At 40.4% G+C, this 16208-nt stretch overlaps 1 protein-coding gene across 3 annotated transcripts in view, besides 1 other annotated feature; it reads right to left on the reverse strand.

Annotated features, from left to right (window-relative positions):
* MAML2 (mastermind like transcriptional coactivator 2) overlaps positions 1-16208 on the reverse strand; it is a 366598-nt gene that overhangs the window by 32628 nt on the left and 317762 nt on the right. The gene's annotated exons all lie outside the window — the stretch shown is intronic.
* Positions 2812-3415: an enhancer, noted in NCBI's record as "NANOG hESC enhancer chr11:95745200-95745803 (GRCh37/hg19 assembly coordinates)". NCBI's record gives its function as "activates a minimal SCP1, AML or CMV promoter by ChIP-STARR-seq in naive H9 embryonic stem cells {active_cell/tissue: H9 hESC(naive)}" and the evidence as "EXISTENCE:reporter gene assay evidence [ECO:0000049][PMID:30033119]".

The following is a 16208-nucleotide window of genomic DNA, read 5'->3' on the forward strand; positions in this document are numbered from 1 at the left end:
TGCACCTCAGCGCTGCAACTTTTCCTTTACATCTTCATTAAATCTAAATATTTTCTCACGTATTTTCTTTACCTTGATCTGACAGCTGGGTTCATGGCTTTTCCCCAGATAATATGCCATTCATTCAAACACCCTACTATTGCTTTCTATACCAGGAAGGTGCTAATCTTTGAATTTAACTGGGTCCTGGTCATAAGATAAAGTGGAATGGTTTCTTTTTTATATATAGGGAAAGCACTAAAGATCTGAATAATTTAGTTTATTTCAGTAATTTAACTATATTTGTTATTTACAAAGAAATCAAGGAGAGACTATTGGTATGTGGTGAATAACTTCCAGTCAAATCTAACATTAGTAGAACCAACTGTGTACTTACTACTCTACTGCACTGCTCTTCAGAAGGTAGAAGAAAACAACGTAAGCATTGACATATATCTTCACTTCTTAGGGAAGCCAGGAAAAGCACAGTTATTTACCTGTAAACATTTGTTACAGTGAAGGAGGGCTGTACTGTTTCTATTTAAATGCAAATAATAATTCACAATGTTGTGTAGAGAGTGATTTATTTTGATACGTTTTCCCCCTAGCCCTAGGATTTTAGGTCAGCTACTAGAAATATTGCCCAAGGACATCTGTTCAAGAACCAATTTTACAAAAAGGTCATGTATTCCTTAATATAAGTATCTATGGTCAAGGATAAAAAACCAATCAGGCCTAACAGGATTTATAAGGCGTGGGTTATGAAAAGATGTTCCTTAGAGGGTTGCAGTTCTATGAACTGAATCAGGAACAATTTGGAGCTTCGGGAATGATCTACTTACTGCAAACTGTAATATGTCTTAAAAGACCAAACCAATTATAGTTATCATTATCATTATAAACCTTCTGCTTTCTATCTTAATTATATTACTCCATCATAACTTCAACAGATAGATACTGTGTTCAGAGAAAATTTACATTCTATATCCTAATTATATATGGATACATATTTAAACATAGAAGCAAGACTTTGAAAATTAAAGTGTTTACAAGTTATACACTGTGACTATTTCTAAGAAAACTGGATTACTATTTAGAGATTTATATAAAAAACTGATTTTCCTGTGTGGGAAGATTTAGAGCAAATCTACTAGAAGATACAGGGGCAGATTGGCCATTCCCCAGTCCCTTCCTACTTTTATATGTAGGGGACACTTAACAAGAGACAGGTCCTTGGGTTAGACAGAATCACTTCTGGGATCAAGTGGAACATTCATAGTTACCTGTAGACCAGGTAGGGGCATAGGATGCTGACAGAGGCTACATTTTAGATTTCTTGAGGTACAAACAGTCCCTACTCAACTTCCCTGATTACAATGTAGATGAGTTAAGAATAGTGGCGAATGAAAAAAGAGAGAACAATAGAGACACATAGTATTTTGAACCAAAAAGTTATATACAGATGTAAAACACAAGAAAAGTTGCTTCATGCAGACACATCAAAAAACTATAGCAGATTGCATTTGTTAGAAAGAGAGAGAAAGAGAGACAGAGAAATATTTTTGCCTGGGGATAGTAAGCATAATCTGAGAATATCACTAACAGTTTTAGTTGTTCTATATTAGTACTTTCATATAAGTATATATTTTAAAAGTAATTTCATGATGATGCAATTATGTTTAGAAGAAATTCAGAGTTTTATAAGGTCACTTTAATCCAGAAAAATATTCTTTAAAGTTTAAAAATACTGTTTTTTTCCTCCTTTAAAATGTTCCATTGATATTTTATTGCAGTAAAATATTCAAAAATGGTTATGCTTACTATTTCTCATCAGTCAGAATGGCTCTTATTAAAAAGTCAAAATATAATACATGTTGATGAGGTTGCAGAGAAAAGGGAATGCTTATGCACTGCTGGTGGGAATTGTAGTTCAGCCACTGTGGAAAGCAGTTTGGAGATTTCTCAAGGAACTAAAAATAGAACTACCATTTGACCCAGCAATTCTATTACTGAGTATCTACCTTAAAGGAAAATAAGTCATTCTACCAAAAAGCCACCTGCACTTATATGTTCATTGCAACACTGTTTACAAAAGCAAAGACATGGAACCAACCAAGGTATCTACCAATGTTGAATTAGTAAGAAAATATGGTACATATACACCATGAAATACTACATAGCCATAAAAAAGAATTAAATCACGTCCTTTTGTAGCAACATGGATGCAGCTGGAGGCCATTCTTGTAAGTGAATGAACACAGAAAGAAAAACCAAATACCATATGTTCTCACTTATAAGTGAGAGCTAAACATTGAGTACACATGGACATAAAGCTGGGAACAACAGACACTGGGGACTCCAAAAGGGGGAGGGTGGGAGAGAGGCTGGGGCAGACAAAGTACCCATTGGGTACTATGTTCACTATTTGGGTGACGGGATCAATAGAAGCCCAAACCTCATCATCATGCAATATAACCATGGAGCAAATCTGCACATGTACCCCTTGAATCTAAAAACAAGCAAACAAAAAAATGGTTATATAAAAGTCTGCAAGCTGTAATCAATGACAGAATAAATGGAATTTTTTTTCTTAGCCTTTAGGAAAATGCCAAGACATATTCCCACCTCTCACATGAGTTGGTGGTTTAAGAATTTGGTTTGCAAAACACAATTTAATATTTTATTTATAGAAGTCAAGAGAAATGGTAACAATTTAAAATTTTGATTCTTGAATATCTGTGCTTGTTAAAAAGAAAAGGTGTGTGGGTGTGTTGAAGGGTTTTTATTCCATTACTACCATAAAATCTACTTTTATTTACGTCTTTTAGAATCAAACTTTTAAAACATTTGCTAAAATTTCATAAATCTCATATGCCAAAATTCAGCTGAGCCAAACTCTTAGTTACCTGTTCTCCGTTTTTGAGCTGCAGTAGCATTTGGTAAACAGAATGCCCAGAACCTCCTCTGAAAGCACCACTAGCAGGCACTGTGAGAGCATTTTCATTCAAGTTCATTCGACTTGGGCAAAAAGAGAACAGCGGCTTACATCAACTGAGGATCAGTGAACACAATCTCATAGCAACAGACACCAAAACAGTCCCTCATTACAAGCCTTGTCCAACAATCAAGTCTTTAACGAGAACAAAGGTTGACAGTGATTAATCATTAAGCGGTTCCCTGTTCCTTGCTGCACGTGTTCACAGCAGCCTCCTACAGAGGCAGTCTGGCATATTTCCTGTCTCTGTGCTCCACTGTGCCATGTCTGAAGGGACGCCCAGGCAGCCTTCTCACTATTTTAATTTCAAATGCTACAAACATCTACAGAGTCTCTATGTGCACATGTCTTGACTTTTATTCTGAGCCTGGCAGACTCTGAATGGATATAGGGAGTATGAACATAATAAGCCGTTAACTCCACATCTGCTTACTAGATTATGTTCAAAGACAGTATAAGAAATTGATTAAACACTGTTTTCTAGAATAAACCTTTGAAATCTGTTTGTTTCCTTAAGCAACACAATGATAAGTTGCTATAATTTAGTTGTGCAGTGAACAGAAGATACCTTCACTACTGTTTCTACATAAAAATAGCTTCTGTGTTGTCAAAGCACCATGCTTTGACAAGCAACAAAAACATTTTCAGAAACCTCTTTCAAATAATTCTGTTTCACAAGGCAACAGAATTATAAAGTCAACTAATGCTGCCACCATTTTATTCAATGTTCCCTTTTCCTGTGTCTTTTTTATGACCTGTCTGGGCATTATCTATCTTAGTTGGTCATGCAATAGCATATGTATTCACCTTAACAGACTAACTTGGAGGGTTTTTATTTTCTCTCTTTCAACATGTACATTTCACTGATGACCATGTTGCCTGTAAACTGCTAGGAGCTCAGGTGAAAAGAGAGAGTTATGAGATACAGATTTCTGAGAGGTGAGGGGCAAGGGTTAATTGAAATTTTTAAAATGATCAAGGGAAGTAGGTTATGTATCAACAAACATATTGTTTTTCCAATAACAAATGTCACATTTAAGAACAACAAAATGAGATAACCCTAAGCATTCTTTGTATCTATTCACTTCTCTCTTCAAAGTAATCAGAATTAAGTAATGTGAGGTCTCCAGTAGCTCATGTAGTAGATTATAACTAGTCCATCTACAATATAAAAGCTAAAGTATAAAATCCAACCACAAAGTGATACAGGACTGCTAGGAAGGGAAGAGTGTGGTCCCTTTAAATGACATGGAATGGGGGAAGCAAAGTACTGGGTAGAGAAAGGCAGGTCCCTGGCAAGGGCTCCACTCCAACGACCTAGGTGAGGACAGGCACTTCCTGCCCAAATGTTGCATTTCCCAAGACCACCTGGGCCTGCCACAACCCCATCCTGGGCCTATAAAAACCCCAGACCCTAGCAGTAGACACAAAGGCAGCCAGACGTCGAGAGGAGCACACTGGCAGAGGAGCACACGCACAAGCACTGGCGCCTGCAGGCCGTCAGCAGGACACTGGCGGGACGAGGTGGGGCTGTTGGAGGAGAGCCAGGGCCACCGAGCAGCCCACCTCCAGGGAAAGAGCATCTTCCTTCTGGTTCCTCCATCTGCTGAGAGCTACTTCCACTAAATAAAACTTTGCATTCTTTCTTCAAGCCCACGTGTGATCTGATTCTTCCTGTACACCAAGGCAGGAACCCAGGATACAGAAAGCCCTCTGTCCTTGTGATAAGGAAGGGGATCTAATTGAGCTGGTTAACACAAGCCACCTATAGACAGCAAACTAAGAGAGCACGCTGTAACACATGCCCACTGGGGCTTCAGGAGCCGTAAACATTCACCCCTAGACATGGCCGTGGGGTCGCAGCCCCACAGCCTGCCTGTATGTATGCTCCCTTAGAGGTTTGATCAGCGGGGCACTGATGAAGCGAGCCACTTCCCCATCTCACACCCTGCGAGGGGGACAAGGGAATCTTTCTTGTCTCAAAAGTATAAAATATGCAATTCTCCCAGTATACTCAGCATTTTAGTATACAGCTGCAGTTTCTTTAAACTGAGTATATTCACTGAGGAATGGGAAATGACAATGCCACTCTACGAACAAAAAGACTACCTTATTATTGGTAACTAGGCTCTCCACAGGGATCCTTGCGACAGGGATGACACAGTGGTTGTTGACTCACATTAATATCAAAGCAGCCTGAGAGGAAACCACATTCAGAAAATGAACTTAACCACAGCCTCCTGGAATCAACATTTAAAACTAACATCGGTGAACTCTGAACTGAGAAGGAAAACAGTGATGAATTGTAGAGAGAAAGCTTTCAGGTTTTCAGGTGGTCTCAAACTACATTCTTACAAACCAACCAATTGATTATTTTGACTCAATTCAACTTGTAGTAAAAAACTCTAACTGGTTCTGTGTTATCTCTGCAGTTAGGGTACGTCAACTTCACCTCACACAAACATACTTTTAAAACAATATTTGACTTGAACTGGTCTGCTTATCCTCTTTCTCTAATTTGAAGCTCCACTTGTAACATTTGGGGGCTTATGTCAAAGTCTTAGAACAAAGACTTAAATCAATTACAAGTTAAAGGACTTAAAACTATGTGTAGATGGCATGGAACATTGAAGCAATTTCCAAATCATGGGGTATGCAAATCTCAAAGAAATTCCAATGCATGTTTGAGTCATTAATTCATCAATAACTATAATAGCTATCATGTGTTGGACACTTTCTCCATATCAGTCACTACACTGGGCACTTTATACACGATCACATTTCATAACTATAATAACCATCTATGTACTAGCCACCCTATTAGTATCTCCATTTTATAGATGAGAGAACTGACATTTGGAGAAGCTAAATACTTCATCTAGTTAGTCAGTGATTGAGCCAAAAGTCTATCTCAGGCAGCCTGACTCCAGAGCCCTGCCATAATATCCGAAAAGAAATAATACAAAACTAAGGCAGCCAGAGCCCTTGATCTAAAGTGGTGGTAAATCTATACTATTGGCACTTCATATGGAAACATGAAGCAATTTAAGCTACTACATAACAGTACAGTTCAGTTATATAGGATCTGCATTTGATATAGGAGTAATATGACGTTGAATAAGTAGCTTCATTTTTCCAAACCCCAGTTTCCTCATCTATAAAAGTAGTAAGGTGCCCAATTCCCAGGGTAGCAGTGAGTTTTAATTGAGATAATATGTGTAAAAAGTATTTTGTAAACACTGTACTCCAGCTGGTTGACCATTATGGTTTACTGTGAAATATAAAAGAATGAAGCTTCTGACATGTTTTCTATTGGGCCAATTCAATAGATGTGGAAGAGCTAACCATAAAATGAAAGTGCTAAGAAGGCAAAAAAAAAAAAAAAGGGGGGGGGGGCAATTCATGAAGACATATTAGTGATGACCCATGTGTACCAAAATGTGTAGAAGATCCTTTATGCCATGGGGAAGACCAAAGTGACCTGAAAAATAAGTGAATTGTCTGCAGGCTTTATGGCATTAGATACTAAGAATATGAACTTTGTACTTAGACAGACCTGGGTTTAAATTCTGAACAAGTTAGTCCAGTCTTAAGGTATCTAATGTTCTCATTAATGATATTGAATCATGAATGTAGGGATTAAAGGAGAGAATGCATATGAGGTGCTTCATACTGACAAGGCTCAGTTAATGTGGTGACTATTATTATTATTATTTAACTTCTCAGGTCAGTACAGTATAAAGGAAAGAATGAAATTTCAGGAGAGGTATGTATTAGAGATAATACATGCATGGCTGGCCCTAGGGAATGTACATAAAAGACGTATTTGGGGCATCATCAGGTCGCTTCTAAAGTCCTTTTGTTCAAAACTTAATCTTTATTTAAACTTTATTTAAACTTATTTATTTAAATAAATGATCCACTTATATCAAGAAATCCGATTGGGTCTCTGTATCTCATGTAGATAGACTGTTTGGTTCAGTGAACTGTCCTCCAATTTACACCATGAATCTGGAACTGCTTTCTGACTGATCATGAGAACAGACACTGCCTACGTGTACATGGGGGGAGGGTGGGTGGGCAGTGCACATTAGGAGGGAGCAGAGAGCAAAAAAGTGAAGGGGAGGGGAGAGAAAGACTAGAAGATGAAAGCTGGAGATCAAAGAGTCATTCTGCCCATCCTGCTCCTAGCAGCCACAGGAAGCTCTCTGGTGGTGATCAGATTACCAGATTACCACTTGCATCAGATTCAACACCCTTGCCAGACCCCTGTCCCTCCACCATGCCTCTCACACCTTACTTCTGTTGATGTTTTAGAGTCCCCACCTCTCCTAAGTTTGAAGGGAGCACATACCATACTGTCTAGCAGAGATATTCAGATTCTAGGAGGAACACTTTTTGTGGGGATAAAAGCTAACTATGATGACATTTTACAAAAGCTTTTGGGAAGAAGAAGAAGGGCTCCTATGTTCATATAAACACAAATATGCAGATTGCCCTTCTCATCGTAGTTTGTGTGGAATTATGGACTTTAGGGACATTAAAAAAGGGTCCATATAATAACTATTGTTAGTATCCTAAAGACTAAACTTTCAATTTAGAGTGCTTTCGGATTGTGTTCTAATCTGAGACTTTTTTGAATTTAGGAGGAACAGATCCAGAAACTCTATAGAAAAGATTTGTTTAAATGGCTCAAAAAAGGGAGATAAAGAATCAGCCAAATGTTGCTAGTAACCCTTTCTTTTGATATATGGAAACTATATAAAATGTAAAATTTCTGAGAATAATACTGAAGTGTAGTAATTTTAAAGGCAATTAACTATGTGAGGAATAATCAGTAATAATAATAATACTCAACATGTATTGAGGGCTTGATATGTGGAAGGCATATTACTAAACAATTTGATTACCTTGTTTAATCTTTACAACATTCTTTTGAGGTAGGTAGATCTTACTATTCCTCCCATTTCATAGATGAGGAAAATGAGGCTTAGACAAGTTAGCTAAATTGCACAACATTTGTTAGTTAGTAAATGGCGAATCTAAATCCAGTTTGGAAAAGCAGATGTGCTTTGGTTATGCATACCTTGATTTCTGAAAAAGTGCAGGTAACTGAAGTCTTAAAAACCAAAGCACACTGAGAGATTACCCCTCCCTCCCTCTCTCCCTCCCTCCCCACCTCTTTTCTCCCTTCCCTCCCTCCCTCCCTCCCTTCCTTCCTTCCATAAAACAAATACATTTGCATTCCTACTGTGCCTACAATAATAACTGGGGTTATAGTGGTAAATAAATCAGAGCTCTGGCCCTCATGAAACCAACATTTTAGTGTAGGAAGACAGATAATAGACATTTTAACAAATAATATATGATGATAAATACTATAAAGAAAAAGAAAACAGGGCTGGAGGCGGGGTGTGTTGCTGGTACAGGTAGGAGTGGGTAGGGTGAGCAGAGAAGACTTCTAGGATAAGATGACATTGGACCTGGAAGAAGTGAGGGGAGAGCCTTGTGCACAGTGGAGGGATTTCAAGTCCTGAGTTCTTGAGGTGGGAGCATGTTTCATCCGCCTGAAGCCTAGCAAGCAGGCCACTGTGCTGCTGTGCAAGAGGCAAGATTGGCGGTGGGGTGCAGGGGTGGAGAAGCAGGGGAGACATGGTCCTGTGGGGCTTCGTAGGCAACTGTCAGAACTTTAGCTTTTACTTGAATAATAAGGAAAGCCATTAGAGGATACTGAGCAGAGGAATGACATGATATATGTTTTAAAGATCACTCTGTCAGCTATGTGGTGAATAGTTTGTACGGAGAAAGAAGATGAGTAAGGAAGGCTACAGGAATAATTCAGAGGTGAGATGGCAGGGGCTTGGGCCAGAGTGGTAGCAGTGGGAAGTGGCTGGATTCCACATAGTCTCTGACGGTAGAGCCACTAATAAGCAACTATGAGATTTTGGCCTGAGTATAGGGAAGTATAGAGTTATCATTTTCTGAGATGGGAAAGACTGTGAAACAGTTTTGCTTTCTGTGGGGAGGGAGTTGGAGGAGTTGGAAATAGGGAATTTAACCTGGGATATGTCAAGTTTGAGATGCTTATTACACATCCAAGTGGAGATGTCAGGAAGGCAACTTGATATATGAGTCTGGAGTTCAGGAGAGAAATATAGACTAGAAATAGAAATTTAGGAGTTGTCAGCATAGAAAAGATACTGAAAGTCATGAATTTGGATGCTATCACCTAGGGAGTGAGTATAGATGATGAAAAGGAGTACAGTAACTGTCCTCTGGACACCCCATCGTTTGGAAGTCTGGTATATGAAGAAGAAACTAGCAAAGGAGAGTGCAAACCATGAATGAGTTGTGTCCTGAAAGCTAAGAGAAGAAAGTATGTCAAGGAAAGGAAGTGATTAATGGATTCGATGTTCCTGATAAGTCAAGCTCCGTCGCCCAGGCTGGAGTGCAGTGGCACCATCTTGGCTCACTGCAACCTCTGCCTCCCAGGTTCAAGCAACTCTCTTGCCTCAGCCTCCCAAGTGGCTGAGACTACAGGGACCTGCCACCATGACTGGCTAATTTTTAGTAGAGATGGGGTTTCACCATGTTGGCCAGCCTGGTCTTGAACTCCTGACCTCAAGTGATATGCCTGCCTCCACCTCCCAAAGTGCTGGGATTACTGGTGTGAGCCACGGCGCCTGGCTGAGAGTTAAGAATTGACCACTGGAATTGGCAATGTAGATATCACTAATAGTTTTGACAAGAGCAGTTTCACTGGAAATCTAGAGACAAAAACGTGATTGAAATGAGTTTGAGACAAAATGAGAAGAGAAGTAGGGAGTTAGGATTGGGGATAATTTTTTTCAAGGAGTATGGCTGTAAAGCAGAAAAATAGAGAGGTAGCAGAAGAAAATGTGGAGGTTTTTTGTTTATTTTGTTTGTTTCTTAAGGTGAGTTTTAGGTTTTATGCCTATGAGAATAGTTTAAATAAAAAATGGCAAATGCCTTAATGTAAATTCTTCCCCTTATTTTTTCTGCTTTATAATATATACAATTTAGTATATAAGTTCTGATTATATATAGTTAGTTATATAGCAAGTAATATTGCTAATAAGTGTGGCTAGTGAAGTTATAATAGTGCCAGTGATAGTCTTTGGCTATCATCCTGATCATAACAATCATTTTGAATATAATCTCTGTAGGGTTTGGTCTTTAATACCTTGCAACAGGAAGCTATTAGCTTCAACATGGGGTCCTCTGGGTAGGAATGCATGCTGAATGTGCTCCAAAAATCACAGACAAGTTTTTGAATAAAATACAGTTAGAGCCATAATATGGAAAATTGTTATGGAAAAAATTAGTCACTCACTCACTTGAGATATAACTCCTGGCATATCAGATTTTATTTTAGCTAAGGTAACCTAACTTTCTGAGTCCTGTAAAAATAATTTAAATTCCCCATTTTAGCCATTTCAGCAGCCAAGGGCTGATAATAATAATTATAATAATAATAATAATAATAATAATAATAATAATAATACACATGTAGAACCAGACACCTGGCAGTGAATAGTGGATTGAAAAGCTACTGGAAACAGTCTAGCTGGGGAAATGGTAAAACTTAGAAGACCTTAATATTGGAAGAATATGATTATACATCAAAGTCCATTTTAAGTAAAACTTTTGTTCAAAAATCCAGTTGCTAGTTTATACGTTTTTCTCCATACTTATGACTCAAAGTTCAAACTTTGGTTGTCCCTCTGAGTCTCCTAGCTCTGGAGTTTACGCTATTCAGTCGTTAAGTGCTGTTTAAAGAGGCTGCGAAGCACTTTCTAGTTAATAGATTCACATTCTCTACATGGTCAATGTTGGAGGTGCCAGTCAGTGAAGGGGAGTGCATGCAGAGGGAACAACCTTGCACACACAGATTTAGTAGGGGGAAAAGGAAGAGTAATTGGGAGGGTTTTTCTGGACCCTTACTTCACTTCTAAACTCCAATAAAGACCATCAAATATTGCCAAGAGTATCCCCAGGCAAAAGTGCCTTCAAAACTCCCTTTTGCTGCTTTTTCCCCTCTCCATCAGATTCTCATTTTTGAAAAGCAACTCTCTTCTGCCCAGGACTCTATAGTCTGCTTCTTCTGCCAGCTTCTGAAGTCTAACCCACACTTGCCTTCCTATTAGCACCACATGACTCAGATTTATAAAGGTCTCCTTTTTGGTATCAAAATGTATCTAACTTATGGCCAATTTCTCTTGTTCTCAGCTAGGTCAGGACTTTGCAAACTTTAATGTGCATATGAATCACTTTGGGATCTTGTTAAAAGGCAAAGCCTTATTCGGTAGGTGTTAAGGGAGGGGGTGACTGGGGCACTGAGTTTCTGAATCTCTAACGAGCTCCATGTGATTCTGATGCAGTGGATCCGCAGGCCACGTGTGAACTGATGAGAGCTAGGTGACTGAAGCTTCATGGATACACTACTGTGAGCTAAGGTGGTAGGGAGTTATTGTATGTCTGCTTTCAGACAATGTTTACAGTTTTACAGTATATTTTACACATTAATCATATAAATGAATAAAACAGGAATTTTAAGTCTTAGTGGCAGAGTGTAAGGAAGAAAATTTTGGTCAGAATGAGAGAGACAGAATGGCCATTACTCCCTTTCAAACTGAATTACCTTTAAGTCACGAGAACTCCAGACCTAGCCTTTGGTGGATAAAACCAGAAACTCTCCTCTTTGAAGTTTAGTCTCAAAAGAGTAGGGACAACTATGCTATATGGATAGAAGGAAATAGGGGATAAATAGTGCTAGGAATTATGGATTTCTTCCCTTTTTTTCTTTTTTCTTTTGTGGTGTGTTTATGTATATCTATATTTATGAGTAGAGTTATATGTAAATGTGGAAGCCTTCCTCAAGTTGATCTTTTCACCCTTGAGCCTAAATCAGTCACCTCTCCTATGTGCTTCCATAGATTCCTGGGTTTCTCCCTGTTGAAGCTCTTGTCACACTGTATAGGTTTGTTCTCTTCTCCATTAGACTGGGAGCTCTTTGAAGGAAGGACTGTATCTGGTCACCATTGTATCTACAACCACCAGCATGGCCTTACTCACAGCAGTGCTTAATAAATATTTGTTAAATGAATGGAAAATCGATATATTTCAGGTTTCTGTAACTGGTGCTTTAGTTTCCCAACTAGAGGGGGAGGATACGAATCCATCATGACCCCAGCAGATGAAAGCCTCCTTGTGGGCTACTCACTGAATGCCTGCGGCTCTCTGTCTACTGGGCCTAAGGTAGGACTGCACATCCTGGCCTCCTTGTAGGTGGCTGGGACTTCTGGTTAGCTCAAGCCAGTGAGTTGTGAGCTGAAGTAATGTGTGTCTCTCTCTGGCTAAGAATTTATTTGTTAATGCTAGCCACTTGAGGACTCGCTTTTCTCTCTGGTACAGCGGCTGGCAATGTCCTGGTTGGTGGCTGCTCCAACACCTATAGTCCAAGAGTGACTATGATGGGCAGAACCCCTTTCCCCCATCGTGCACGTACAGTGTAAGAAAGAAAATTCTGTGTTTTAGCCATTGAGATTTTGACATTATTTGTTACTGCTACATAACTTCACCCATCCTGATTAACAGAGGTTGTGAGGGTAATGCCAAGAACTGAGGGATGCCATGTCCTGCCTCTTCCCAGTCCCAGCATTCCTCTTTGCCTTGAAGCTGGGCTCCAGGTGCAACCCAGATCCAAGACTGTGGTTCTGAAAGTAAGGCTTTGCCTCTGTTCTTGAAACAGAGTTCCTACCTTGAACCTGGTTCAGGTTGAAGGATTCCTGCCATGTGTCCATGACTAAGCTGGGGTCTCTGTAGGCCAGGCCATCTAGGATGGGAGGAGCTGCCTTGCCTAGGGCTGGCACCCTAGGGCTGGCTGGATCTCTATCACTGCTCCTGCTCCTCCAACCATGTGATCCATTCACAGGTCAGGGCACCCTGAAGAAACTACGTTGAATTTCATTTTGCTCATAACAGTATTCCCAAGGGTTATCTGGTGCTGTATTCTGTCTGCCACAATGATCTCCATCGCTAGCTCCCGTCCTGAATCTTTCCTGAGACCCCAGTGCCTGTCCTATAATCAGGAAATTTTGTCCCAGTTTCCTGCCTTTCTCATTATGCCCTGAATCATGCAGTTAAATGGGCCATGTGTATCTGCATCCAGAGACATAACAGATGGGATCTTGGGGATTAAGGTAGCAAACAGAGAGCAGAGGGCTTTTAGAAGGATTAGTCTTTCGCTTGGTGGGAAGGGTAGAGAAGGACACTGGGGAGCTGATTTGAAAAGGGTCACTGGGGCCCATAAGCATATGTGACAGTGGTTGGATTTAGTTAGCCCTCACTGTCCCTGTCTATCTGTCCCCCGAATATCTGTAGAGGAAATAGCACTAGGCTAAGAGGCAAAAAACATGGGTTTGAGTGCTGGCTCTGCCACTTACTTTCTGTGTGACCTTGACAGATCAGTTAACCTCTCTGAGCCTATGGAAAATGAAGCTAATTATATGTGTCTAATGTGGCCCATAATGAGGCTGACTGGGATCTCACTCACAAGGATCAGATGAAAGGATGTTTGAGGAAGCACTTGGCCCATTATAAAGTGTTTTTTACAGGTAAGGCAGTATTATGACAATGAGGATGTTTGGAACAGATGGGCAGATGGACTAGGCCAGTAGACATGACGCTTAACCTCAAAACCAGTGATGATGGTATCTTTGTGTTTAAATAGAACCAGGCAATTGTCACATTATAAAAAAATGACTGCTAAAGATACTGTATCTGAAGAAGGTAAGGCATGCAGGGGATCCCCAAGACTGGGGCTGGGTAGAGCTGAGCAAGATTCAGTGAGGAAAAGAGTTCAGGAATGAGAAGTTAGAAGAGGATGAAGCCCCTCTGCAGTGGGCAGGCTGGAATGGACGATCCCTGGCAGGCCACTCAGCCCACTATGCTACTGACAGAAAACTTGGACCCTCATCAATCAGGGAGGTTCAACCACACTGCGTCCCTTCCTGATTTGCAGTCGCGATGGGCAGAGGTACAAGGGGAGAAGCTGCAGACGGCATTGTTGCCATATGATGGAGTCACTGTTTGCATATTTTGTTGCTGGGTAGTCTTGAGGCCTCTGGAGGACCTCCTTTTTCTTATATTAATTCCCAATGCACCCACTTGCCGAGCCCAGCCTTACCGCCTCGCTTTTCAGCACAGTTCCCACACATGTCAAAGCTTTACAGACTGCCCGGTAGCCAGGCAGGAGCAGCTGGCAAGGCTCCCCAGAATGGAGCCTGGACCACCCAGCTAGTGAGACGACTGATGTGGAATGTGGGTTCATGTTGTGGAGTGCAGCAGGCCCACAGTGCTACATGGGATGTCCCATCTGTGGGCGTGGGATCTAGGAGGCTATGGGGGAAATGCAGGCAGACTCCATGAGTTCTCCTAAGAGGCCCTGGAAACATGAGGGTGGCCATTGATCACAAGGCCTTTCCACCTAATGGCTTTTCCTATACAAGTAGTTCACATCTCGAACATTTCCAGGCTTAGAGCAAACAGAATATGGCTGAGAAATTCTGAGCAAGGCAGAAGGTAAGAAAATGCAAGGAGAAAGTTAGGGAAGCTGGAGAAATGTGAGGTTATTAGGATGAGCTGCTTCTATCAAGAGGTAGTGAACAAGAGGGCAGTTTTGCTGAATAAGGACAGAATCATCTTAAAAATGGATAAGTCTCCTGCAGTAAAGTGACAGATTAATTAAACTGCAAACCTTCTCAGTTGTCTAGGTCTGGAGAAAGTTAAGATATAAGATGATCATAAAAATGGAAAGTCCAGATATCAAAGACACAAAATAGCTGAGGCAAAGACTAGGGAAATGCTGGTAAAGGAGATTTCAGCAGTAGAGAAGCAAACCAGTGAGGGGAAGATCTATTTTTTAATAGATGATTAAAAATTTTCTCTCAGGGAAAGATACTGTAGGTTGAAATGAAAGAGTTGCGATAGTAGAAAAGATTATTTTTGCAAAATGCCTGAGTTTGGAGAAAGAACATGGGCTTACAGCCCCAACTTCATAACTTCCTAATTGTGCAATCTTGTAAAAGTAGTTTGACCTCTCTATGCCTCAATTTCCCTCTATACAAACTAGAGAACTTAGTAATGTCAAATCACGGGGATACAATAAGGCTTAAAACAGATCTTGCATATGAAGACTGTTGGAAATCTGTAAAGTTCTAAACAAATGTTAGCTTTTATTATCACAGAATTTCTTTGTTTTCCTCCACTATATTTCACACTTTCTAAGCGTGCAGACATGCACTCATGTTGCTAAAAGCCACATCTGTTTTTTGAGTAGGCTGGTCATAGGTAGAACTAAAAGGAATAATTGGAAGACTTCCTCTGGCTATCTCTTCTGGTTTCCTACTGAGTAGAGTAAATTTCAAACCATTATCTGTGGCAGTTATGTCTCCCCAGCCCTGTGCCTAAGGATCATTTTTGGCTGTCACCCATTCACCTTACAGAACTTCTCGGAACGGTTCTGGTACTTTCACGCCCTGGCAACTGTGGATATTTTGTGCAGGAGGCCTAGACTGCCCTGCCACTCCTTCTCCTTCTGCTCACCTCTTACTCAGCCCTCCACATGCAGCTCTGATGCCACCTTGCCTGTGTCAAACTGGCCACATCCTCTCAGTGTTTCCACAGTGCTCTGTTCAAAACTCTGTTATATGCTTATGGACTGCTGGTGGGAATGTAAATAAGTTCAGCCACTACGGAAAGCAGTTTGGAGATTTCTCAAAGAACTTAAAACAAACTACCGTTCAACCCAGAAATCCCATTACTGTGTATATACCCAAAAGAAAAGCAACCGTTCCACCAAAAAGACACGTGCACTCGCATGTTTATCACAGCACTATTCACAATAGTAAAGACATGAAATCAACCTAGGTGTCTGTCAACTGTGGATTGGATAAAGAAAATGTGGCACATACACACCATGGAATACCCCACAGCCATAAAAAAGAAAAAAATCATATCCATTGCAGCAACATGTATGCAGCTGGAGGTCATCATCCTAAGTGAATTAATGCAGGAACAGAAAACCAAGTAGTGTATGTTCTCACTTATGAGTAGGAGCTAAGCATTGGGTACACATGGACATAAAGATGGGAACGACAGGTACTGGGGACTACTGGGGGAGGGGGGAGGTGGACAAGCACTGAAACACTAC

The sequence above is a fragment of the Homo sapiens genome, chromosome 11 (genome assembly GCF_000001405.40).
Source record: "Homo sapiens chromosome 11, GRCh38.p14 Primary Assembly".
Classification (NCBI taxonomy): domain Eukaryota; kingdom Metazoa; phylum Chordata; class Mammalia; order Primates; family Hominidae; genus Homo; species Homo sapiens.